General features: G+C 42.7%; 1 long non-coding RNA gene across 1 annotated transcript; it reads right to left on the reverse strand.

Moving 5' to 3' along the window:
• Positions 1-632: 632 nt before the first annotated feature.
• Positions 633-12958, reverse strand: LOC101929902 (uncharacterized). Its single transcript, XR_001738524.2, has 3 exons — positions 12558-12958; positions 11753-12062; positions 633-3381 (listed from the first exon to the last, which is right to left on the reverse strand). It is a non-coding gene; the product is annotated as an uncharacterized LOC101929902 (long non-coding RNA).
• Between the last annotated feature and the right edge of the window lie 14655 nt (positions 12959-27613).

Consider the following 27613-nt stretch of genomic DNA (forward strand, 5'->3'; position numbering starts at 1 on the left):
CACCTTACTGCAGTCCCCCCATCAAAGGTCCCAAGAGGGAAAGCTGCCTACAACCTGGATTTGGCAGGTACTAGTGCTTGGAATTAAATTCATTCCTGTAGGGATGGGGCAGCCAGGGAGCAAGAAAGGGTTGGAATGCTTATGAGGGATTAAAATAAAAAATATTAAAATATTAAACTTCAAATAAAAAATAAAATCAAAAATGAATTAAGAAACTGCCCTGCCAACAACTTTGTCTTATAACATCAATAAGGATAAATTAAAGGGGAAAAGAGGGTAATAATGATCTGATTCACGCCTTCTGCAAAGTCCTTGACGACGCTGTAGAACTGGAAGGATGGCAATCCACCCTTTCATCTGGTTTAATGTGGTGGCAGCACAGTATTTTTTCATTGCCATGAACCACGCAACGGTCGACCTGTAACCACCCTGCTCCCCAGCAGGCTCACACACCTTCTGAGAGTTGTCCTTCTGTGTCTGCCAAGCCCTGATGATAAGGTGTGTTCCTCCACATTAGTCATAGAGGAGACTTATGGGGAAGGTAGAAAAATCACTTTCAGATCAACGTCAAAACCAACGCTTGCTGTGCAGGTCTCTGCAAATGCCCATATTCAATCTCTACCACTCATTCCTTTGTTATTGTTAACAATTATATAAGTTTATTATTAAAAATTCAAACAAGTACACTAAACAGCATCTCATATCCAGTGATGGCACTTTGGTTAGCCTCCTTCCAGGCACCTCTTTCCCCATCCAGAGAGTCAAGTATACATTTATTCCCTTTATGGAAATGCTTTTTCTCTACAGTCTACAACCATGTTTTGTTCATTCAGCAATTGTAATGTGCCACATGCCAGCAATATTATTCACAGTCAAATGATGCAAACAGCCAAAAGAAATTTGTAACCTAATATTTTTCAGCTGTCTTTTTATACATATATATCTAATGAACACATTGTAATTGTACGTATTAATGAGGTACAAACTGATGTTTTGATACATATCTACGTTGTATGATGACCCAATCTGCTGTGTTCTTATAGTGGCAGGTATGTCGAAGACCTGAATGAAGACCGTACATGACTTACCTCCTCAGAAGAGGAAAGCAGTGCGCATTTCTACCAAGGGCAGCTTCATGTAGAGGGTTTAGAGGAGGGAAGTACCCATTCAGAACAATTACTGCCAGGCACTTTGCATTTGTTATCTCACTAAATTATCTGAACAATTGGAAAAGCCAGGTTTCATCACACAGAAAGAAGGAAACAGAAGCCAAGGAAATTACGTAGCTATATCCCAAAGCTAATTTGCAGAGGGTCAGGATTGTAACCCAGGTCTCTCTGGCCTCAGGGGCTATGAATGCTCCCATAGCAGGTGTGCACACGCCCAGCACCCAGCCCTCCATCCATGCTCAGTGTGAGAAGCAGAACGTCACACACCATAGGTGAGTTCATGGACTGCAGTGTCACTTGTGTTTCTTGCAACATGATCTGGGCCTGGTTATTTCTCCATTCTCTGATGGTTCCATGCATATGTGCCAGAAAGCTGAAAAAAACATGCTCTCTGACTAGCAGGCTCACCCTACCTAGAACAGATGGACCAACATGTGGAAGGCAAGTATGGGGGAGGAAGGGAGAGGAAACAGGAAAAACAGAAATGGGGCCAAGCCACAAGTGGAATACATTTTTCATTATTACCTGATTTTGACCGAGGGTAGATGCATTAGAAACCATCCTAAATTGTTCATACAGTGTTTACCTGAAAAGAACATACACTTAACTTCAAAGGGAAATAGGTTTAGAATTGCAGTCAGCAAGTCCCATTTGAGGCTCTGTTCTTTGAGACAGCTGCTGTCTGGGGCTCTTGTCTGGCCCCTGCTGGGGCCTCAATTTCACAGCTTCTCAGGGAAGTCGGCTTGGAGTGACAATGGTGAGACAATGGCTATGACAGTTTCATCACCATCCTCATAATCATGCCTCTTATAAGAGCTTATAAGATGTTTTCACATATATGACATCACCTGATCTTTATAATCATCTCTGACTTATCTCCTCAGAAGAGGAAAGCAGTGGTCATTCCTACCAAGATAGAAATGACCTGATCTTTATAATAATCTCTGACTTATCTCCTCAGAAGAGTAAAGCAGTGGGCATTCATACCAAGATAGAAATTATTATTATTAGGCAATAATATGACACATTTAATAGCGTGATGTAATAATTACTACATCAGTCTTATCCAAGAAGAAACCAGTGTTTGGCAAAGTGATACAACTTAGCTGTGTTCACACGGTTAGTCGGTGTCAAAGCCGGGACTCTAGTCAGATCTGCTCCCTGGTCTGGCACATTTTTGCTGTAGTATATCATGACAAGGTAAAATGACAAACTTCCTAGGTTCACTACAAGACTTGTATTTTATCATTCAGGGAGTATCAGAGATTGAGAAGTATGGTGACTCATGATCCTTTTATTTGTAACTAGCGCTGTCTGTTCATGCTAATTTTTCTCTTTGTACATGTGGCATTAAAGGCTAATGCATGATCAGCAAATCTTTACAGACTAGGTATGTGTCATTTGGACTATGATGACAAAGTGTGTCTCGAGTGATACATTTCCATCTGAAATGACCTTTCATGCATTAAGGGTAGTGACTGAGAGTTTTGGAGGCAGGACCCTCCAGAGCAGGAATGGAAGCCCTTGAACTTGTCAAGTTACTTCACTAATGGAAGCCTTGATTTTTTTAATCTTTAAAATGGGGATAGCAATGTCTACCTTGTAGGGACATCATGAGTATTAATGAGATAATGCAGATAAAGTTCTTGGTCCCAGCAAGATCCTCCATGAATGGCATCTCTTATCCTTATTCCGGAGTTCTTTCCCATTATATTTAAGCTTCTAGTATTGACATCTTCTTCCTTATCAAAAGTTGCTCAACATACAGAACCTAGAAGGAAAAGACTCTTTCCAAATAGCAGATGGCCAACCATTGCTTTAAATTGTTCAGTTGTGGAGCTGACTTTAGAATCAGATCTGAGTTCAAATTTCAGCTGTACCAGGTGCCCTGGGAAAGTCATCTTCCCTATCCCAACTTCAGTTCCCTCATCTGCAAAATGGGGATCATGATGTCTATTGCACAGTGCTGTTGTGAGAATGACATGGAAGTGCCTGACCCAGAGGCAAAGCTAGACAAATGCTACTGCTGTTCTGGATGTTGCTGGTTTCAGAGGCCGAGCCTGTGTGAGGAGATGGCCCAGTGTGGGGCTGTAGAGCCTGGGGCTGCTGGCATTTTGGTGGGGGTTGCCCTGTTTGCTATCCATCTCTGATCGCTGCAGGGGCCTCTTCCTGCTGTTCCTTTCTGCTTGGCTGTGCTGTTCTTTAGAGTCCCCTGGGGGAAGACAAAGGTGAATAGAGCTGTTTAGTTTGGAAAAAAAGCATCTCAAGGGCAACCTAGTCATGGATTCCACCAAGGACTCTTATGAAGAGGAGCTGTCCATTTGCTCTCTATCTCCAGGGAGGACAAGAAATGGGGATGAGAAAATGAGTTGCAGGAAGAGGGGGCTCCAATGGAAGGAAGAGCATCTTGCCTAGAAGGTAAATTGGTCCTAGGAGGGCAGCAACCAAGACTGCTGGGGAAGCCATCTCTGGAAATTCTTAAATGTAGGCATGACCAACACACAGCCTGGATCTCTTAGGTGGTAATCTGCTGCAAAAAAGGAACTGAGACCAAAGTAAATAATTCCATGGGTGTTTATAGAAGAGACTCTCAAAGATGTTCTGCACATTGGTATATGCACATGACATAAATTAAACCTGGGTTAATACACAGAGAAGTATGTGTGGTCAAGAACGTGTGCACACACACCTTTCTCTTTATGCTTTGGGTTCAAGGGAGCTCAAGAGAACAATATCAGGTACAGAAGCTATTGGCAGGCACATGTGAAGTCTCTTAAGCTAACAAGGTGGGAAAAACAGAGAACTGGAAGACTTGGCTAGGAGCGGTTCAAAGGGGGAATTAGACCATTGTGTGAGTTCTTGTTGTGGAAATCAAGCACCACCAGAATTTAGCCCTGGAATGGGAGCTGTGCCATTGAGCAAGTTCTTAGACATTAGCAAGGCAGCACAAAATGTACTTTCACTCTTTATGAGAGCCTCAGTGATATCCTGTACAGGTGAGGAAATTGAGTCTTCACCTAGTGAGCCCTTGGTTTCCAGCTCGAGTGTTTGAATGTGTCACTCCTTTTTCCTGTGGCTGACTTCCTCTTAAAGCCCAGGTATATGCTTAAAGTTCCCTTGCTCAGATTGGCTCTCTGCCACGGGGCCTGCTCTCTTTAAGCTCTCCATGAGACTCATTGCTCTAAAGTGTCTCATTTGTTTACCTATTTATTTTCTACCGCCTAGAATGTGGGCCACATGGGGCAGGGATCCTATTATCTTTATTTTTATATTCCTTCTTTATGACAGCGTACAGAAGTGCTGAATACATGCTTGTTGAACAAAAGATTAAACTCACTTTCCCAATAAATTGTTCTACTAAAAAGACACACGCATCCATATGTTCATTGCAGCACTATTCACAATAGCAAAGACGAATAGCAAGTGCCCATCAGTGTTGGATTGCATAAAGAAATCGTGGAATAGTACCATGGAATAGTACATAGCCATAAAAAGAATAAAATCATGTCCTTTGCAGCAACATGGATACAGCTGGAGGCCATTAACCTAAGCGAATTAATGCAGACATAGAAAACCAAATACCACATGTTCTCACTTATAAGTGGGAGCTAAACATTGGGTACACGTGGATATAAAGATGGCAACAATAGATACTGGGGACTCCTAGAGGGGAGAGAAGGAGGGTGTCAAGGGTGAAAAACCTACCTATCTGGTATTATGCTCACTACCTATGTGAGGGGTTCAATTGTACTTCACACCTCAGCGTCAAGCAATATACTTTCCTAACAACCTGTACATGTACCCCCTGAATCTAAAATAAAATTTGAAAAAAATAAAATGAAATAAACTGACTTTCCCACAATCCACCTTTGACTCCCAAGCCCAGCACCCTTCCAACTTGTTTCCTGCTTCCAGAAGACATCAAACTGGGCAGCGTAAATCTGAGACGCACGGAGTTAAGCCTGCAGCCAGGTCTAGAGCTAGGCACTGCCTGATTCTCCCCTCTGCTCTGTTCCTTTAGAAGCTCTTTTTCCAGCATTTGCCTTGAAAAGTCATTCCCAGAGTATTTTTATTTTTAATGGAGCAGGCTGCCAATAGAACTTTATTTATGGGTTTATATTTTAAGATTGTTGAGGATTTGCTTGCCTTGGGATATTTGGGTGGATCTGGCCCCAAGCAAGCTGAGCCTCAGCACCTCCCTGTGGACTAAGCGAGCACTTCCCTGAGGTCTGGCAAATGCCCTAGGGCTGCCTTCTCTTCTTTAGAGGACTGGGTAGGAGCCCAGGGCCTCAGACCAACCCATTCATTCCCACTACGAAAACAGTACTTCCACTGGGGCCAGCACTGGATGCCAGAGAGGAGGCCCTTCCTCTCCCTTCCCACACTCCTGGCTGTGGTGTGTGAACCTGGTCTTCTAAGAACAGAAATAACATCCTGTGTTTGCTCCCACTTGGCAGCCAGGCGGGTCCGGCGGGCCACTTGGCTGTCAGCCTGAGGAAGGAAGTCTCCAGGTATTGGTGAGAAAGTTGGAGGCAGGTTGCTGCCTAGAGAAAGTGCCATTTGCCATTTGTCAGGGTCACAGGGAAGAGGCAGCTCCAGGGGGGATCTCTGACCCTTCCCAAGCAGTGAAAGTTGGGAAGTGTCTCCCCCGCAGCTGTGGCTTCCAGCAGAGACCGGAGACTAGAACCAGCAGCACTTACAGAGATTTATAGCCCATGGAAGAAGGCTTCTCAGCTCACATGTTTACTTCAGAGAACTCTGTGGAGGCATCAAGGGCCAGGGTCAACATACACCACTGCAGCTTTGTCTTTCAAATGTTTCGGGCCGCATTATGTGTTTGGAAGACAGCAATGGGGTGAGTGGGGAGTGGGGAAGGCAACAGGCATTACTGAAAATTCACAAACATACACGATTTGGGCATGTCTAGGTAGTGTATAGTTAATGATGTTGTTCCCTTTTGTTCCTTACAACTTAGAGGAAAAAAGAAACATTTCCAGTTCTCCTATGTCAAAGGAAGCCCTGTTGCCAGGCCCTTCTTTTGAAAAAAAAAAAAAAAAAAAAAAAAAAAAAAAAAAAAAAGCTTGCAAATTGAGAGTTCCCAGGAGATTGGAGTTAATCCCCCAGAGCTAACCAAGGGAGAGTTGTAACCTTGAACATTGCACCATTGTCAGGGTTGTTTGGGGTGCTCTGCTTGAATGACTAAAGGAGACCCCCTCTCCCACCCAATCCCCTTCCATGCCCAGGCTTGGCTGGCAGCTTTTCCCTCTCCTGTGTCACCTCCTTCTGTTCCTCTGATTCCTCCCCCTCACACTACTCTTGGCTTCCTCCCGGATCAAGTCCCAAAGGACAAGGGGGATGCATAACCAGCTGGGAAGTGAGTGACCACTGGTTTAATGGCAACCGGCACCCTTCCCCTCTTCCAAGAGGAAGAGCTGTTTATTTGGTTTTGTGAAATATGCAGAAGCTATGAAAATAAGCACTCTATTAATAATAAATGGAATGGAAAATAGAAGCAAACAAGTCAAAGAAAGATGAGGTGGAAGGTGAGTCAGTCAATTTTCTTTTAATTGCTCTCACATCAGTAAAAGTCAAAGGAACAGCAACCTCGAAAGTGTCTTAATCAAATAGAACGCCAGGAAGACTGCAGCAGGGACATCTCTTTGGGAGAAAATGCAGAGCAATCTGAGTTTAAGTAAGCTAAAACATACTCAGGCTGGCCAAAGGAAATCCAGTTGAAATTACATTATAAAAACAGAGGCCAGCTATTGTAACTTTTTCAAGTACCGCCATTTTTGGCACAGCATTGTATTTTTTAGAACTTTATCCATATACACAAATTCAAAAACAAGTATTTTAATCCCCTATGTTCAGCTAGAGTGGCTTCTTTGCAAACTAAAGGTTAAATTTTGCCAAAGTGATGAGGAGCCAATTGTATAAAGTAAACTATTGTCATGAATGCTGCCTTCCCCCCAAAAAAACCAACCCATGTGGTCATAGCTCATTACTCTACAGGGAAATGTACCACTAAGAAAGAAGGACATCTGCTTGGCTGCAGGTAACCTGTACAGGACTCCATCCAAAGGGCTTACTGAAAAGAACAGGGTACCAAAGGGTTTCATTATCAGTGGTCTCACCCCTAAGGCAGATCTGGGCGCTGGAAATAGTTAAACGTATACCATGTTGAAATGATGGCAGACAGATTCTAGGGTGGTTCTCAGGCTTTCCACACCCTGCTGTTCACCCTCTGTGTACTCCCCTCCCCTTGGTCTAGACCTAGGAAAATACATCACCTTCTCTAAGATTCTTTCCTAGCAGACTAGGGAAAGATTCTCCAGCTAACTTTGAAAAAGTCAGCTGTCATGTTTTGAGAAGGCTATGTGGCTGGGAGCTGAGGGTGGCCTCTAGGAGCTGAGAGCAAGTCCTGGCCAATAGTCAGCAAGAAAGCAGGGACCTCAGTCCTACAACTACAAGGAACCGAACTCTTCCAACAACCTGAATAAGCTTAGAAGATGAACTGAGCTCCAGATGAGAATACAGCCTGGCCAACACATTGACTTCAGCCTGGAGACACCCAAGTAGAGAACCCAGCTATGCTGTGCTCAGACTTCTAACCTATGGAAACTGTGAGAGAGCAGTGAGTGTTATTGTATGGTAATGTGTCATGCAGCGATAGAGAAGGAAGGCAAGATACATCCCGCTGTGTAGGCTGCTCAATCAGCTGGCTCAACAAACCCTGCATCAGAGCACTTTTCCAAGCTGCAGCCAGGAGATATTTTCAAAACAGGAAACACCCCTACTGCCATTCACAGCTGCTTAAACGTCTTGGTGGCTTTCCTTGGCACCTGGGATAAAGACTGGGAAACTCCTCTTGGCCTACACAGTCTCATATCTCAGCTTCCCTCCCCTTTCCCACCACACTGGCCTCCTCTTAGCGTGTGGTGTCCTCCAAATGCCTCCACCTTTCGGGACTGTTTCCCCTCCTCCTCCTCACCTGCAATTCCTCCTTTCAAATATGACATCCCCTCCAGCTTTTGACTGCTTTTGTTTGCTCTCCAATGCCTTCCAATAACTATTTTAAAAGGTTTTCCAAACATTTATCACTGTTGTCTACAAGAAAGGTAGTTTGATACAAGATCCTCCCTTTTCATCTAAATTCATCATACGGTTCTAAAACACTTACATTTAGCTATTCTCATTTAGTCCTCATAAAACATTACTAAGATGACCAAAATGAGTTAATTCTCTCAAGAGATAATTTACTTTCTCCCTTTCTGTATTCCAGGTGTTATGCTAGGCAGTGTTAGGTAGGGAACAAATCAGTGGGAAACAAGTCAGGTCCAGTCTCTAGCTTCACAGAGTTTATGATCTAACACAAGAGTCATTCGTTAAATGAATATAGTGAATTTTAGAGAGACCAAGGGCCTCATGCCAGGGCCCACAGCGGAGTAAGTAGCAGAAGTGAGATTTAACACCAGAGCTCGGGCTTCTGCATCAGTGCACACAACACAGAGTATTTTTCATGAGGCTACCCCATAAAAGCTAGACCATTCATTCATTCATTTAAAAAATATTCATTGAGTACTTTTACTCTACCAGGAACTGTTCTAAACACAGAAGATACAAAGAGGGCAAAAATAGAAATTCCTGCCCTCATTCTGCCCACATTCTAAACAGTTATTACTTTCTTAAGTCATATGTAAATAAGACCCTTAGTGTTATTTAGATATTCTTCAAAGACTGAATTTTGTGGAGCATGTGTTTTTTATTCACTATGGAGGCACATAACACTATGAGCTTTGCTAAAATAGGTTGATACAAGGAATACAATTACAATAAAATGTTCTTTATGATAAAACCACTATCTGGTGAATGGGCCACAGAAACAAGGCTTTGTCAATTTTTTAATGTCTATATTAACAAAACAAATGCAAAAAATAAGACCAAGATGAATATATTTTTATGAGTCCTTATTTACACAATAATCAGTCTCTTAAAATGACAACTGTGGCCGAACACGGTGGCTCATGCCTGTAATCCCAGCACTTTGGGAGGCCGAGATGGGTGGATCACGAGGTCAGGAGATCGAGACCATCCTGGCCAACATGGTGAAACCCTGTCTCTACTAAAAACACAAAAATTAGCTGGGCGTGATGGTGTGTGCCTGTAATCCCAGTTACTGGGGAGACTGAGGCAGGAGAATCACTTGAACCTGGAAGTCGGAGGTTGCAATGAGCAGAGATTGCACCACTGCTCTCCAGCCTGGTGACAGAGCAAGACTCCGTCTCAAAAAAAAAAAAAAAAAAAAAAAAAAAAAAAAAAAAAAAAATGACAACTGCAAGGCCTGATTATATATTATTTTCATAAGAAAAATCTGGGGAAAGGAAGAATGAGAGATGGGCATAGAAAAACAAGGAGAAATAGGAGAGTTGAGTGACAATTTTTAGCAATTTCTTTTTCTATTATCAAGACATTTCATCTTCTATCGCCCATCTCTGCTCCAGGCATCTCAGCCACCTACAAAAAGACTCACTTCAACGCCCAGAGACTGCGTGTTGAATTTCATGATGAACTCAGATGGTTTCTTCCAAGCCTTTCCCTTCATTGTCACCTTGTGGCCCCGCCTATGCATATTGTCATTTAGCACAGATCAAAGCCTTACACTGAGAGGATGGAGTCTTGGAGACAGTGAAATCTCAAACGTCTGCCAGTGGGTAGATAAGGAGGTGGGGGCATCAGGGTGCATCCCTCAAATCACATCACATGTAACTATTTGGGGCAGGAAAGTTAAACCTCTCACTACAACAAATTACTACCATAAAATATCAATGAACTTTCACAAGGAAAATCAGGGCAAGGTGATCTATGTCACTATGCATGTCTGTTTCCTCTAATGAAATTTTGACTGGTTCTTTTCATTTGCTAATGAACTTCAGAGACTCTCCATTCTACTTTATCTCTAGGTCTTAACATTGAAAATAGTGTAATCATTTTAATAAAATGTTATCATTCCAGACCTATTTTAATATTTTATAGCATGATTCATTAATTCATCCAATATTTATTGTATATTTACTGCATGCTCTAGGAAATACAAAGATGAACTTAAGATCTAGTGTACTGGGAGAGTTTGCCAAACTTGTAATTCTGATCTACTATCATTGGCTGTAGAGCTGAATGTCACACAGGGTTGAGTTTCATAATACAGGGTTATGATAGAGGATACTTAACGAGAGATGCAGGGATCGTTGGGAGAGCTCAGTTTACTACAGTAGCCCTAGAGCTGACATATAGTGATCACGCAATCAACATTCATTATGTAAATAAGCAACCAGAAGAGAGACACGTGAGAAAGATCTTGGAAGTATTGTTTTAATAAATAGATCAGGAAGCTGGGTAGAAGAAATGGCACATACAGAGATGCAGAAGGAAAAAGCTGAGCAATGCGCTTGAGCAACTAGCTGCCATGCACGTACAGAAGGGCTGACCCCAAACCACCTCTCCAGCACCGTGTCTCCTAGTTGTCTTGTGACCATTTCTTTGCTCCATAAACCTCCTTCTCCTCCATACTTTATTATTCAAACAATGCTTTCACTCATATCTGTGAGCCAGGCTTGAGATCACGGGCCCTTTCCCTCCCTTGACACCTGCTCAGAACAGAGCCTGAATAATATACTCCTGAAGTTCTTCTTGGTATCCATCTCATCCTCCTAAAACTTTCCTTCAAAAAACACTGAAAGTTCTCATTACCACCAGTCTTGTTTGAGATCCATCTTTTCTCGCTGGATGTATGAAAGGCCTTCTTAATTTCTCTTCTTACATCCAAAGTTTCCCCATAAGGCATGCTCAGTACAACTCCCAGACCAGTTCTCTTGAAGCAGAGCCCTGGTACTGACATGTTAACATTCAAGAATATTTAATGTTTCCCAATTATATGAGGATTAAAGTCAAGGCTGTGAGTCCAGCAGAAGCTCATGGAAATAAAAAATGGAAGTTAAGGCAAGCATGCAGGTAGGAAAATGACTTTGGAGGCTTGAGAAAACCAGGCTAGAGGTGATAATATTCTATACCACACACACACACACACACACACACACACAAAGTGGAGGTAGAGAGAAGTAGATAAGTAGGAGAGCTATTCAAAAGTGGGACTGACTGCTCTTAGTGATGGGTTGAATATGGGGGGAAAGGAATTGGGGGTAGGGATGCTGCCCAGGTTTCTAAGTAGACGACAGTTTGCCAAGATAACAAAAAAAAAAAAAAAAAAAAGACAAAAGAAGAATCAGCTCTGCTTGGAAGTGGATATGGACTGGGGATGAGGAAGAATGTTGAAGTCAGTTTTGGGCATGTTGAATTTAGGACGAGTGGGTGGAGATGTCCGGGGCCACTGCCTTTGTAAGACAGGGAGCTCAGAAGATATGTTTGAGCCTGTACGAATTAACATTTGTTGTGTGACAAGCCACCCCAGAAGTCAGTGTTTTAAAAACAGCATGTTTTATTATTGCTCTTAACTTCAAGTCATCTAGGTGTTTCTGTGGATCTGGACCAGGCTGGCTAATCTGGGCTAAGCTAGTTTATGAACTTACCAGTTAACTGATGGATCGCCAGAGGACCAGGTGTTTTCAGAGGGCCTTGTAGACACGGTGAAGGAGGCGTCTTTGATCATCAGTTCAGCCCAGTTTACTGGGCTAGGATAAGGGGTTCCAAGATCAAAAGCATATGTGTGCAAAATATCTTGAGGTCCAAGCTCAGGACTGGCACAGCATCACTTCTGCATTTTGTTCTCCAAAGCAAGTCCCAAAGGCAGCCAGACTCAATGGTTGGAGAAATCAACTCCACCGCTTGACAGGAGGAGCAACAAATATTTCTGGCCAGGCTTTGCAATGTACCACAGAGCTGAAGAACAGATATGGAAGTCATCAAAATATCAATAACAGGTGTAGGTACAATTTCCCAGGGAAATGAGTAGGGTGAGAAGAGAACCCAGAGCAGAATGTGGAACCCCAAGGTACACTATGACACAGATTGTAGAAGATTCCATGAAATAAACAGAAGTAGCACCCAGGGATATAGGAGGTAACTAGAAGATGGCTGAGTCATAGCAAAGAAAATGATGTTTTAAGAAGGAAAGTGTTATGGTTCGAATGTGGTTTGTCCCCTCCAAAACTTAAGTTAAAATTTAATTGTCAATGTAACCACATTGGGAGGTGAGGCCTTCAAGAAGTGATTAGGCCAGTAAGAAGAATTAATGTCTTTCTCACAAGACCAGGTTAGTTCTCCAGAGAGCAGGTTTTTTATAAAGCGAGGTCATGCCTCATGTTTTGTCCTTTTTACATGTACACTTCCTGTTTTGCCTCTCTGCCACATTGTGATGCTATACAAGACCCTCACCAGAAGTGGACCAGATGCAGCTGTCTGATCTTGCACTTCCCAGCCTCCAGAATCTAGAGCCAAATGAACCTCTTTCTTTATAAATTACCCAGTCTCACGCATTCCGTTATAGCAACATAAAACAAAGACTGAAGGTATGTAATATAATGCCAAGAGAAAAGTACTAATCAGGCCAAGCACAGTTTCAGCAAGGTGTTAAAAAAAAAAAAACCCTAATATCTGAATAATGCTTATGTAGCTTGATAACATTTAGAAATTAATTTCTGGGGTTTCTCCAGATATTTTCTCTTTTTCTTTCTGCTGTACTACTACTGTGTCCATAATTGGTTCCTTCCTGTGGGTTCTTGGTCTCGCTGACTTAAAAATGAAGCTGCAGACCCTCGCGGTGAGTGTTACAGTTCTTAAAGATGGTGTGTCTAGAGTTTGTTCCTTCAGATATTCAAATGTGTCCGACGTTTCTTCCTTCTGGTGGGTTCACGGTCTCTCTGACGTCAGGAATGAAGCCGCAGACCTTCACAGTGAGTGTTACAGCTCTTAAAGGTGGCACATCCGGAGTTGTTTGTTTCTCCGGGTGGGTTCGTGGTCTCGCTGACTTCAGGAGTGAAGCCGCAGGTCTTGGCAGTATTACAGCTCATAAAGGTAGTGCAGACCCAAAAAGTGAGCAGCAGCAAGATTTATTGTGAAGAGCAAAAGAACAAACCTTCCACAGCACAGAAGTCGACCCGAGTGGGTTGCCACAGCTGGCCAGGGGTGGCCAGCTTTTATTCCCTTATTTGGCCCCACCCACATCTTGCTGATTGGTCCATTTTACAGAGCGCTGATTGGTCCATTTTTACAGAGCACTGATTGATGTGTTTACAATCCTTTAGCTAGACAGAAAAGTTCTGCAAGTCCCCACCTGACCCAGAAGCCCATCCGGCTTCACCTCTCACTACTACTGGGGTCTTTCTGCCCTCCCCAGCCACTTAAACAGGAAGAAAGCTCAATGCTTTATTGCTTCATGGGTGGTCTGTGGCAGGCTGGAGGGCTCACTATGCTTGCAAGATGTCTTCATCTTGTTTTCAATAGGCTAAGCTCAGAGGAGAAAACAAGATTGGCAGAGCAATAGAAGAGAACCAGGACTTGGAAGAAGCAGGAGGCAGAGAGGTGCTTGATCCTGATTTTAATAAAAAAGAGAGAGAGATTTCCCAAGACTAGAGAGGAGTGAGGCATGTGGATGACAGAACAATGATATGCCCACCTTCTGCCTTCCAGGGGGTGACACCTCAAAGAAAGAATTGGCAAAAATGGGATCATAAGGACAGTGGTTCCTGGCTTCTCCCAAGATTCTATATTCAAAAAGGAACCTGAACTTGAGAGCAGAGGGTGGGAAGGACAATGGCTCCACCAGCAGTTACTTGGCTGAGCAGATGGTAATGACCAGGGGCCACCATCAGCGCATTGGCTCATCATGTGGGCTCAGAACCTTAAAAAGACCCTGAGGGACTTTATGTCCCAAATAGAGTATGTGAGATGGAATTACAAACTACTGAGAGGCTAATTTATTCACAAATAAAGAAATGTGCTATTTCGCATACACCTGGATTTGTGGAGTGAGAGTCACCTTTGCCATGTCCACTATGTACAAGGCAATGTGTTAATGTTTTCAGTTCACTATCTTATTGAATCTTCCCAGCAGTACTGTAAATTCTGTTCTATAATTATTCTGACTCCATAGATAAGGAAACTGAAGAGCAGAAAAATCAAGTAAGTTTTTATGGGCTCAAACTAAAACATGGGAGAGCATGAAGTTGAACCCAGATAAGCTAATGTCAGATCCCTGTTTCTCAACCACCATGCCATTCTGGTCCTGATGATTTAAAGCCTTTATCCAAATAATGCAGGCAAAATAAGAGGAAATAATAACCAAAATTCATATGTGCACACACACACACACACACGAACACACACAAAACTTCAGTAATTGTACTATCCTCTTTTTTTCTGGAATTTGGTGGGATGTTTCTGTACCTCCTAGGAAATGGCCCAGTCCACCGTTTGTCTTGACCTGGCCTAGAAAGAGGTAACCAGGGAAATGACAACAATAATAATGGCAGACTTGCAGGTAAAAGAAGGTGTAACAATCCCAGCACTTTGGGAGGCCGAGGCGGGAGGATCATGAGATCAGGAGATCGAGACCATCCTGGCTAACACAGTGAAAGACCATCTCTACTAAAACTACAAAAATTAGCCGAGCATTATGGCACGTGCCTGTAGTCCCAGCTACTCAGGAGGCTGAGGCAGGAGAATCACTTGAATCCAGGAGTTGGAGGTTGCAGTGAGCTGAGATTGCACCACTGCACTACAGCCTGGACAACAGAGTGAGACTCCGACTCAGAAAAAAAAAAAAAAAAAAGAAGGTCTAACAAGGAAAACAATGAGAAATGATCATTCATTTCCTCTGCTAATACTTAGGAATAGGTTAATGGCAGTCAGTTGGAATCTCTTTTAGTGAATAAGAAAATAATGGAAAGGAGTAAAGGAAAAGAGTGCAGGATAAAAAAGAATAATGAAGGCCGGGCCTGGTGGCTCACGCCTGTGATCCTAGCAGTTTGGGAGGCCAAGGTGGGTGGATTGCCTGAGCTCAGGAGTTCCAGACCAGCCTGGGCAACACAGTGAAACCCTGTCTCTACTAAAATACAAAAAATTAGCCAGGCATGGTGGTGTGTGCCTGTAGTCCTAGCTACTCGGGAGGCTGAGGCAGGAGAATTGTTGAACCTGGGAGGGGAGGTTGCAGTGAGCTATAATTGCGCCACTGCACTCCAGTCCAGCCTGGATGACAGAGCAAGACTCTGTCTCTAAAACAAAAAAAGAAGAAGAAGAATAATGAGAATAAAGGTAGAGCAGAAAGGGTGAAAAAGAATTGGTGGAGAAGATAAAGCCCAGAGGGTGAACAAAAAGCAAAGGGCAGACTGCAAGGATCGGACTATGCTTCCCAGCCATCTAGCCCTAGGAAATCCTATTAGACAGCAAAAAATGAGATTATTGTATTTTTACTTTGCCACAGTATGCAAATGACTCCATTTAGCTGTTAAACATGTTGTTATTGAATTCTGAGAAATTCCCTTCATAAGATGTAATATTTTTGTGACAATATTGTCAGCAATGCCAGATTGCTTTTCTATTTTGGTTAAGCTTTTATCTGAGTCTAGTATATGTCATCTACTCCCAGATTCCAAATAATTGCTTTTATGCAATTTTTGTGTAAGCAAGAAATAATAACATGCTTAGAAATGTGAGAAATGTGTTAACCTTCCCATTATTTTTCAGGGCCCAGGAGAATTAGAGGGTGGGCCACAATAGGGAATGTAATTATTTCTCATGATGAATTTTTATGTATGTTAATATCCTTGAGAGCCCACATATCTGTTATTAACCACATTCATTTGTTTTGTTCCAGTCTTTGTGTCCCATGTTTTTAGTCCTACTTTTAGAGGCTTTTTGCATAACTGACAAAGACTTTTAAAACCTGTAAACAAAGGATTGTGAAATCACATTTTCTATCTCTGACACATTTATTCTTTCTTGGTGGCATCACTGTAATTCTGACTATAATTTAAAAAGAAACTGGACCCTCAAGACATCTTTGCAATCCCTGACACTATCATGACAATGCTTGTGGTTTCTGTAAATTTTTATTGATTTAGATGACTTTTCTGATAGAGAAAACTTCTCACCCATCCAGGATCAATCAGTGAGAAATAAAGAGGGAAGCAAATATGATAAATGTTTTGCATGATTCATTAGTCACAAAGCACATCTGCCCAGATCAGAACCATTTCACAGTCTGCTATATCTAGCTACTGAGTCCTGGACAATGACTACTGGGTTAGAAACAATAGTGACTTTCTTAAGAATAAGAAAGTCTAGTCATCTAATCAGCAACAACAGTAGTGTGATGGTTAATTTTATGTGTCAACTTGGCTAGCCCTAGTTGGTACCTGGTCAATCATTATCTGGTGGTATCTGGTCAATCATTATCTATGTGTTACTGTGAAGGTATTTTTTAGATGTGATTAACACTAAATCAGTAGACTTTGAGTAAAGCAGTTACCCTCCATAATGTGGATGGACCTAATCCAATCAGTTGAAGGTCTTAATGGAAAAAAGACTCACTTCCCCCCAGGAATTTTGCCAGCCTTTGGACTGGAACTGCAACATCAACTCTTCCCTAGGTCTCCGGCCTTCAGATCTACCCTGAAGATTTTGGACTTGCCGGCCTCCACAATCTCTGTCAATCATTCTCTCTTTCTCTCTTTCTATGAGTGTGTGTGTGTTTATGTGTATTTAAAAATCAAAATAATATAGAAATATGCACACATACATCCTATTGATTCTGCTTCTCTGATGAACTCTGTGATTGCTATAGGTAGGTAGCTAGGACCTACTTCCCAATTATTAACCTTCAATTGGCCAGGCTTTTTCTACCCTAGCTGGCTCATTGCTGGTAGCAAGGTTTAGCCAGACAACCAAAGAGTAGATGGAGAAACCACATTCTAACACCATTTTCCTGATTAACAGAGATTAACAGGTTCTTTACTTTCACATCAATAGAGATGCCTAGGTAAATGAAGATCTCCAAGGAGTCACTTAAGATAACTCTTGTTATAAGTAAGACCACTCTGGAACACCCCACAAGCATCCATTTTAAAGATTTTCAGCAGAACGGATGACCTCAAATCAGACAGAAACATTGAGGCAAATAAGGACCGACAAAGGCCTCTAGATTGATATAAACTAAGTCATTGGAGGATGTATCAGTTAGTTTTTGCTGTGTAACAAACCACCCCAAAATGTAGGAACTTAAGTTTTTTATTATTATTCCCAAGTCTATGGGTTCACTGGGCAGTTTTGCAGTCAGCCATTGGGTTGGCTGGGTGCTCTTGGTCTGAGATTGGTTACCAAATGTCTAGTAGTTGATGCTGGCTGCCCATTGCTCTCCAGGGTGCCTGGGCCACAAGTCTCTCACCATCCAAACACCAAGGGCTTTGTAAAGGTTTTGCTTTCTTTCAGCCAAAGTATTCAATGTTTGCATGCAAGGGAAAAAATATCACCTAAATCCCAAGCACACACATTGTTTTATGCCAGCTGATCTGATGGAGAGGGAGCAAAGGTCTCTTCTGTTTCCTTAGGCCATGGATTTAAAATAAATCAGGCAATACAGAATGCTCCTTTGTACTTGGTAAATTATTTATAATGGCAATTGACTAGAAAATATAGCCACAGACTTGGAAATAATAATTTTAAAAAGAGTTTATGTGACTCTATTAGGGAAATGGTGTGCTAATCCAGGTTTTGTTATCATTTCAGCCTGATGGCAGATTGTCCATGAAATCTTTCTAGATTCATGGAGGGAGAAGCTTTGAGGAAATGAATTCAGGAATCTAACGCAAAGAAAAGAAAGCGGCATAAACTTTCCCCCACCCCAGACCTGACATGAAACCCTAGGCGATCCCTCCTTCTCAAATGTTCATACCATGTGCCCTGAGTTATTTACCTAACAATGGTCATTCTTCTAATAACAGATCCTGGGATTCCTGAAACCATGCTTTCTCTCAGTGCTGTTGTCTCTGGGCACATACGCTGTTGAGATGGCGACATCACACACCCTTGAAATAGCAGTTGCACAAAGCAAACGTTTGCCCCAAGCATGTCAGACTTTTGACAGGCTGCAACATGATAAGTTACCAGACGTGTTCCCACAGGAGCCTGCGTGAATTGATTGCAACCAGACTCACCCGATGACAAGTGACAGACAGCGGATAATGCAGGGAGGTCAGGTGGGCTGCCAGGCCCAGGGCCAATTGCTCCCTGGAGCCCATCAACAAGGGACAGGACTCGGCAGGACCAGGCCGGCAGCCATCCTGGTTGGCTTCCAGCGGGTACAAGGAGAAATTGCAGCTGGCAGAAGCGCAGACTCCTGGTGCCACTCCAACACAGTGAGGGTAGAGGAAGGTGAGAGGAGGGTGTTACTCTTTAAAAGAACTCAGATTGCATATGAAATGCATCTCTTTCTTCTTGCTTTTGATCCCAAAATGAAAAGAGCTTAATCTCCTATCTGAAAAGAAGCTTTTCCTATGCTCTGCTGACACGAACAAACCATCAATCATTGCCTGGATTTCCTGAACCTCTCAGTACAGAGGCTTCCAGGCCAAGAAGGGTTGAGAAAGGCCTCCTTCCAGCTGAGGACAGTGAAGTGTGGTAGGAAGCAGGAGTCTCCCAGAAAGGGCATACCCTGTCTGATCCCTCCCTCTGACAACCTGCTCCACAAAATGATGTGGGGAGAGAGGGGTCATGGCTCAGACTCTGGGAAAACAGTGGCTTAGAAATTGATAAGTATTCAGACTGGACTTGGTTCCGAAACTGATTAAGCCAAACATCCTTTTCCCAGCTCTTCTGACTTCTCACTGCTGTTTCAAAGACCGCTCTTGGCACAGCAATGGGCAATTTCTCTCTTGTAAAACAGACCATAAAAAATGAAAGCACCAGATTTAAGGGGCACACAAACATGCACACACACACACACAAACACACACACATGCACACATATAAATACACACACATGCACGCATAAATACATACACATGCATGCATACAAATACACACAAAACCACAGCTAAAATCCTTTGTAATCCCAACCCAGCTATTTAAGTCATTCAGAACCTGGCTTGGAAAAGAGAGAGAGAGAGAGAGAGAGAGAGAGAGAGAGAGAGAGATGATAAAGTAGAAAGGTCTGAATAGGTTGAGTTACTCAGCATTCTGAATTTCAAAGCAACCTCTTACTTCCCAGGCTCCTGTCAATGTGCTGACACCGTGTATAATTTCAGACCTAAAACAGAGCTCTGTTCTTCTTTATCAGACTTTGGCCCTAAAGGCAATTTTGTCACCTCCCAGTACCATAATAAATTTAATGGGTTGTTGAATTACCTTCATGTGCCTGGGGCTTTGGCAGCATAGCTGTCTATAGCTGTCTTTTTATAACTTTTTATAAGGATAAAGTGCTGACTCTTTGTCCTTAGACAAACTTCAGATTCCATTGTGATTGACTGGTGGAATCAATGAGACATGAGATCAGGGAGTGGTTCTTGGGGTTCTTTTCCCTCTGAGAAAGCCATCTGACAGAAATAATCTTTGAGCCCCTAAAAGGTCAAGTTCCTATCGGACTCCTAATCTGGTCGACCCCTTGGGCTTGGCAGCAGAGTATGTAAGCAATGGCTGTGGCCAAGGTCTGAGCAGAATTGTGTTCCAGGTGGACAGTTCCTCCTTCCCCACCATGGTCTTCTGTCTCCACTTTCCAGTTGGGATGGGAGTAGCTTTAGCTTCTAGATCTGGAAGTTCATGTCGCCACCTTCTCTGGGCCACACCCTACCTGCTGGCTGCCACACCCATGTGCATGTGCCCCCTCCTCCAGCCCCAGAACCCCAACCCTCACCTGTACCCCAAAACCCCATGCTCGTGGAGACCTCAGTTTTAGATGAGTGGGGCTGGCTTAATCAAGCTGTTGGAAAAATCCAAAGAGAAGGACTAGTGAAGTCTTTCTCAGCCAAAGGTTGATTTTGAAGGAATCAATACAATCATCAATATTTTCACAAGGCCACTTTATCCTCCTTTTGGGGATTCCTCCAGAATGATTGTTGTTATTCATCTGTGTAAAAAGCTTTTTTTATTCACAAGTTCTTTGCATTCAACATACACTAAATTCTTTTATTATTCAGAAGGGTCAGGAGATGGAGTCAAATATGCTGCTTTAATGGCTCTCAAACTCTGATGTCTATAAGAATCACCTGGGGAGCTTGACTCTAATTGAGATTGCTGTGCCGTGACCTTAAAAGTTCTTATTCAGAAGGTCTGAAATTGGAATCGAGAATCTGCTGTTTTATAAGCTTGCCAGGAGATTCTGAGGTTGGTGGTCTAAGTAGCATGGCTTTTGTTAATAGTTTACCATTTGCAGCTAGTCTATTTTGACAGAATTATAATGCTTTCAAAATGGTCAAGGAAACCTAATAGAAGTACAGCTGACACATGAATAACACAGGTTTGAATGGCACGGGTCCACTTCTACGTGGGTTTTCTTCTGCCTCTGCTGCCCTTGAAACAGCAAGACAGACCCCTCCTCTTCCACCTCCTCCTCCTCAGCCTACTCAACATGGAGACAATGAGGACAAAGACCTTTATGATGATCCACTTCCACTTAATGAATAGGAAATACATTTTCTCTTCTTTATGATTTTCTTAATAGCATTTTCCTTTTTTGCATCATATAATATATACAACATACAAAATAGGAATAGGAAATACATTTTCCTTCTTTATGATTTTCTTAACCGGATTTTCCTTTTTCACAGTATATAATATATACAACATACAAAATATGTGTTAATTGACTCTTGACTATGTTATCAGTAAGGCTTCCAGTCAACAGAAGGTTATTAGTAGTTAAGTTTTTGGGGAGTAAAAAGTTATATGTAAATTTTTGACTGTGTGAGAAGTTGGCGCCTCTAAGCCCCGCATTGCTCAAGGTTCAACTATATAATTTTAAATGGCTTCGAGTCTGACGATCTGAGAATTCTGTTCTATATGCTTCTTCTGAAAGCTTTAGGATTTCTGCAGTGTGAAGTACCAAGTGATGGTCTCCTGTGGACCTTCGTGTGCCACAGCACCACCACATACGTGATGTTCATATGGAAGACCCTGTGAGCAGCTGGTTGGTGGGAGGCCCTAGTGGCTGGCTCGACACAACCCGGGTCATTGTGCCAATAGCAGAACTCATACCTCATCTTGCATGGCCACTCAGCCACACCTGTCCCAGAGACTCCACCCTTCACCTGCACTTGTCCTTGCAGACAGTCCTTGAGTCACAAAGAAAGCACTGGAAGAATCAGATAAGAAAATTATGGAATGATTGTTTGCAGAATCTGTGTTGACTTAGAGCAAGTTGCAAATGGGAGACATAAGGAGCAGAAGCAGGCAGGCCATGCTGAGAACAGAGAAAGCCAGGGCTTGTTTGATCTCCTTGGTTCACTGCTTGCCTGATATCCTGTAAATAAATGGGAATTTGCATTAAAACATCACCTGGCAGTGTTCCTTTTCAGCAAACACTGTGTTAAGGATCTGTGCTCACCTGAGAACTAACGCAGAATGGTCATGTTGTAACTTTCAGTCACCTCTGTGAAAAACCTGGCCACATTCAGAAGAGAAAGCATACATACATTTCCACTCACATGATAGGCCTGTTTATGGTCTGTATGTATTGAAAGAGTAAGAACAATAAATACCTAAGGCAGAATTTCATATCCTGACTCCACAGCAAATCCCAAAAGTGACTAGGGACCATCAGTAGGCCAACATGACCAGCAGGACCTAACCTTAACACTGAGGATGTGGAAGGTCGTGCTGTGTTACTAACTTCTCTGTAATCCCAGCTGCTAGGGAGGCTGAGGCAGGAGAATCACTTGAACCTGGGAGGTGGAGGTTGCAGTGAGCCAAGATCGTGCCATTGCACTCCAGCCTGGGCGACAGAGCAAGACTCCGTCTCAAAAAAATAAAAAACCTTCTCCAGTTAAAATTGCTAAGGCTGGTGACAGGGAAAACTGGGCAGAGAACAGATCCCTCCCTACATTGAAGCAGCTACCATGGGAGAGAGACTTTCAAGGTCTTTGTGAGTTTGGCCTTCAGAAATTCAAACCTTGCGGCTTGAGTATATGCATAGGATATAAGAACTAGAAGAAAGCTAAAAAATTATTACTTATTTTATGGTATAGGTGAGTAAACTGTCCCTGCAAAATGCAGTGATGTGTACCAAGTAAACATATAATTAGTAGTACAGCTGGTTAGATTCGCTGCTGAATTGTATCCTCCCCAAAGGAAGCCTATTTTTCATAAATACTGAAATACTTCATCAGATCTTTGTTGAATGGAGATTGAGAAAGGTCTAAGGAACAGAGAGAAAGAGACACTTCAAAAAATGCAATGAGTTCATTCAAGCTTCCTGATGATGGTGAGCGTGTGACATCTTGATATTTACAGTACAATTAATTCTGGACACTGGATCTTCATAACCTCAGTTGCCCTTGGGAACCTGGTGCTTCTTTTCTTCCATCCCCATCTCTGGGTGGCCATTTGGAGCTGTCTTCTTTATGGCTGGGACAAGTGGGAACTCTCCCTCTTATTTCTGCAGCATGTTGGTGAAAAGCTCTCAGCAAAAGGTTCTGGCTAAGGGTAAACCAAGCCTTTGCTTCCAGAGGCTGGAAGATCATGTAGGTCTAGATTATCGTCGAGTCAGTGGGCAGCAAGGCTAATGTTCATGCATCCTGTCCCATTCCAAAATCCCAGTCTCATCTAGAAAATCCATCTCTTTGGACAGGTCAACACTGATACAATGCACTTAGATTTGGAAGAAATGTCCAGTATGTTTGTGGGGGTAACCATTAGGTTAGAGTGGGCAAGAAGATCAGTGTGAGACCATAGTTAATACTCTTCCCAAGGGAAAACTCAGTGAGGTTCCTGCCTGCACTGATGCCAATGTGGGGCTCATTGGCCACCCAGAGACAGGGATGGAAGAAAAGAAGCACCAGGTTCCCAAGGGCAACTGAGCTTATGAAGATCCAGTGTCCAGAATTAATTGTCCTGTAAATATCAGGATGTCACATGCTCACCATATTCTGTTCTCCCCTCTGTTCTGTCCATATCAGAAGCACAATATTCAACTCTGGGTAGAGGACTTTAAGAAGCTTGTTGGAAAATGTCCCTCCTAAATGCCCTAAATGTGTGCAGAATACTGCTTAGGGTGGTGAGAAACACTCCTAATCTTGACGAGAGAATAATAGAAAATACAAGAGATGTTTTGTATGGAGAAGAGAAATACTTGAGATGGACATAAAAGTAATGTTCCAGTATGTAAAGAGCTGCCCAGAACAAGTTGGGATTTTTCTTATTCTTATGGCTCTAAAGAACAAAACTAGGAGCAGATTTATTTTCCATATGAATACAAACTTTTCAACAAAACAAGAAAAAGCATCCTAAATATTGAACACGGTTCATAAAGCAGTGTCTCCCATACACAGGAGTCTAAGGAGAAACTAGGAAATTATAAGCAAAGATGTCAAGGGTATTTCTTCCTCTACTAAGAGTGCCACAGAGGATCTTTAAGGCCTCTGACAGCCTTAAGATTCAAGAGCTCTGTGCCTGGAGGTAGAAGAGAGACAAATTATGAGCCTCTGCATGACATATTTCTTTTTCATTTCCTGGCCATTCAATTGCACTGCTAAGTGGACTCTTAGTTGGGGAAGGCACTTAGGTACCAAGCTAATCAGATGTCGGAGAAGACACATTCAAGTGAATTTTGTGCAGGACAGAACAAAATTCAGAAAGGCAAGCAGCTGCTCAGAGACTATATTCCTCATGTCCTCTTGGGACACCTCCTCTTGTATGTGACTTGTCTAGTAGGGTAAGTTTTTCTGTTGCAATTTCAATTCATCTTCCCTCCTCCTAGTTACCCATGAAAGGCTGCTCTTTAGGGGTGTGAGGACCTAAAGCCATTTGTTTACTGGAAGGAATAAAGACAGAGCAAATAACTGTCGTATTTCACTGGGTCATACCCTTCCTCATACATACAGCCTCAAAGAAAAAAAATCCTCCTCTTACCATATGCATTTTATTTCTACTCTCTGTTCATGGGATTTCAAAGTGTAGCCTTGAAATAATTACATTTTTGCAAAACAATAACTCTGGAATAAGCTTACCAGATAGTATTTGGAGAAAGAAGAGTCCCCCGTAAGCTGCACTCTACAGAGCCAGGGTCAAATGAATTTCTTCTTTCTTGAAAATAACCTAAGCCATCTTGAGACTTGGAGCTAGAATTCTAGAAAAAACAGAGAATCTAGAACACCCAGTGTGAAGCCACCTGACTCAAGGGGACTGAGGAGCTTATTCAGCCATTCACGTCAGTGATGGACAGGAAGAGAACGTGAAAGTCCTGAGCACTCAAGCCAAACTCTCACCTTCAGTTGTGGTAAGATGACGGCAATAACACCTTGCATTTACTTAATACATGACAATTTTATTATACATTTAAGACCTTTACATTTTATAAGTCTGGCTGTTGAAATGGTTTACAAAATATTTTACAAAATTTTAAAAAATAAAGTTTAGAAACTCCAGGTGGCCCTTCTACCATGAGAGGACACAGTGAGAAGACACTATCTATGAGAAAGAAGACCCTTGCCAGGCACTTAATCTGCTGGTGCCTTGATCTTCAACTTTCCAGCCTCCACAGTTGTAAGAAGTAAATTTTGATTGTTTATAAGATAAAAAAAAAAAAAAAAGAAGAAGAAGAAGAAGAGGAGGAGGAAGGAGAAAGGAAGAAAAAGAGAAGAAACTCCAAGTGGCTTTTACAAAGTCACCTCAGCAGTAAGAGGCAGAACTAAGACTCAAACCTATGTCTTCCACCTCTAAGGCCAGTCATCTTTCTACTATAAAGCACCTGTCCTCTGTAACAAGTGTTATTTGCTTACATTTTCTTTATTTCTTTACTTTTTAAAAACCTTTTTAGCAATATTCCTTTTGGAAATTTTAAACTAAATTTCAGCATTGCTTAGCTTTCATAGAAAAACTCTGTTCTGTGGAAGCCATGGAGCTATTTAAGGCTTGGAGGATTTCCCATAACAAAGTACCACCAACTGGGTGGCTTACACTACAGAAACTTATTGTCTCGCAGCTCTGGAGGCCAGAAGTCCAAGATCAAGGTGTTGATAGAGTTGGCTCCTTCTGAGGGCTGTGAGGAAAGGGTCTGTTCCAGGCCTCTCTCCTTGACTTGTAGATGGCTGGGTTAATGTTCACACACAGTGTTCTGTGCGTGAGTCTCTGTTTTCAAATGCCTCCTTTTTATAAGAACATTAGTCATATTGGATTAGGGGCCCACCCTACTGCAGCATGACCTTATCTTAACTAATTACATCTGCAATGACCCTATCTTCAAATAAGGTCACTTTCTGAGATACCCGGGGTGAGAAGTCCAACATATATTTATTGGAAGACACAATGCAACTCACAGCAGAAGGTATCCTAGAAATCACTATAAAATGGACATTACCATAAAACGCCATTATCCCCCTTTTTTTCTACCTAATACGTTTGCTCACAAGACAAGAATGCACGTAAACATGTTAACATGTATGTTTGAGCATGTGCATGGATATGCACATATAGCACAAACAAAGAAGGGGTAGTTAACTAAGGCAACAAGGCAGCATGACCTACCAGACTCACACACTGGGTGATGAGGTTAAAGAATATCTGTAGCAATCCTCATTTTTCTACTTTTATTCTCTCTCTCTCTCTTTTTTTTTTTTTGAAATGGAGTCTCGCTCTGTCGCCCAGGCTGGAGTGCAGTGGCTCTGTCTCGGCTCACTGCACACTCCGCCTCCCGGTTTCACACCATTCTCCTACCTCAGCCTCCCAAGTAGCTGGGACTACAGGCGCCCACCACCACGCCCAGCTAAATTTTTATATTTTTAGTAGAGATGGGGTTTCACCATGTTAACCAGGACGGTCTCGATCTCCCGACCTTGTGATCCACCCGTCTCGGCCTCCCAAAGTGCTGGGATTACAGGCGTGAGCTACCGCACCGGGCCTCTAGTTTTATTCTCAAAATGCTCTCTAAAAAAAAAGAACCTGAAGATGGTAATTCAGACAGAACTGTTCACTGTCAGTGCAGAAATGTATGCCTCCCAGAAGGATGTGCATGTTACAGAGGATCCCCCTGAACAGGGGATGATGGCTAGCACACAGGAATGCATTATTAATGATGAAATTGCAGTCTCCACCAAATAAATACTAAGGGAAATATTTGGCTGGGGGAGGGCAGTCTTCCCAGCTTTCTGGAATAATGGAGTCTGCCTGGCCACAAAAGGCCCCCACCCCATTCATCACTCAAAGCTGGCTTTGCTTCTGGGGAGAGAGGCTTTCCCCACCCAATTATGCTCCATGCTTCCAGTTAGACTGCCAGGCATACATTCCCCTGGGCACTGGCCTTCTCCAATTTCCAAAGAGAAAACACTTTCAACTGTCAGAAAGATGAACTTGACTCTGTCAATTGTGAAAAATAAGTCATAGTTCTATTTGGGAGTTTTTTGGACAATATAAGTGTACAAATTTATCATCAAGAAAGAAAATAAAACACAAGTGTGCTTCTCCCACCCACCTCCTCCCTCCTTATTGTTCCCCAAACATCTGCTCAATGCACAGCTCTAGTGCCGGCCATGACCGACCCCATTCAGCGTGCCCAGACTCATCGCTCCTGGTGAGTTTCCGGGAACCTCAGTATACATTTTTTAAAAATCACAGTGCTTGTGATTAGCTGCTCCAGTCACACCTGCTGTCTGGAGTTGTACACATTGTTAAGACGTTGTGGCCCTATAACCTTCAGAAACAATCTAGCGCAGGTGCTACCAACAGAGCCCATCTCTGGGGCTCAGTGGAATTACAATGACCTGCAGAAGTGTGCACCAGGGGCCTCTAATCAGGTCAGAGCTGATTGCTCCACAGCCTAGAAACATGTTGTAAATATATATTGCAGACACATCGGAGAGCCCACTCCTAGGCAGTGAGGGGGCTGCCTGCTCTGCCTACAGCTTTAACAGGCAAGACCCAGGGCTGGGTCTCACACGTTCTCTAGGCAAGTACCTGCAGCTCCTTTAAGATGTGCATGTCTCACTGCTAAGCTTGGGCCACTCGCAGAAGAGTTTTGTTAGTAATTTTCAACCCAACCTAAACATCACCATGAAGTCCATGGGGATCTCCGATAGGTAATGGAAGGGGGATGGCCTGAACCCTGACCTCAGTAAGTGGGACAAACACGAGGGTCTTTTCTCACCTCTTTTCTCTTTATTATACTCCACTTCTGCAGATTCATAGCCAGAGATCACAGGAGGGTTTGGCTTTGTTTTTTTTTAAGTCATAAGGTACCAAATGAGACTCAGCTGAGCCAGTCTAATGCAGACAGTTATCTCCAGACTGTG

This window comes from Homo sapiens, chromosome 1 (assembly GCF_000001405.40).
Source record: "Homo sapiens chromosome 1, GRCh38.p14 Primary Assembly".
NCBI classification, from domain to species: Eukaryota; Metazoa; Chordata; class Mammalia; order Primates; family Hominidae; genus Homo; species Homo sapiens.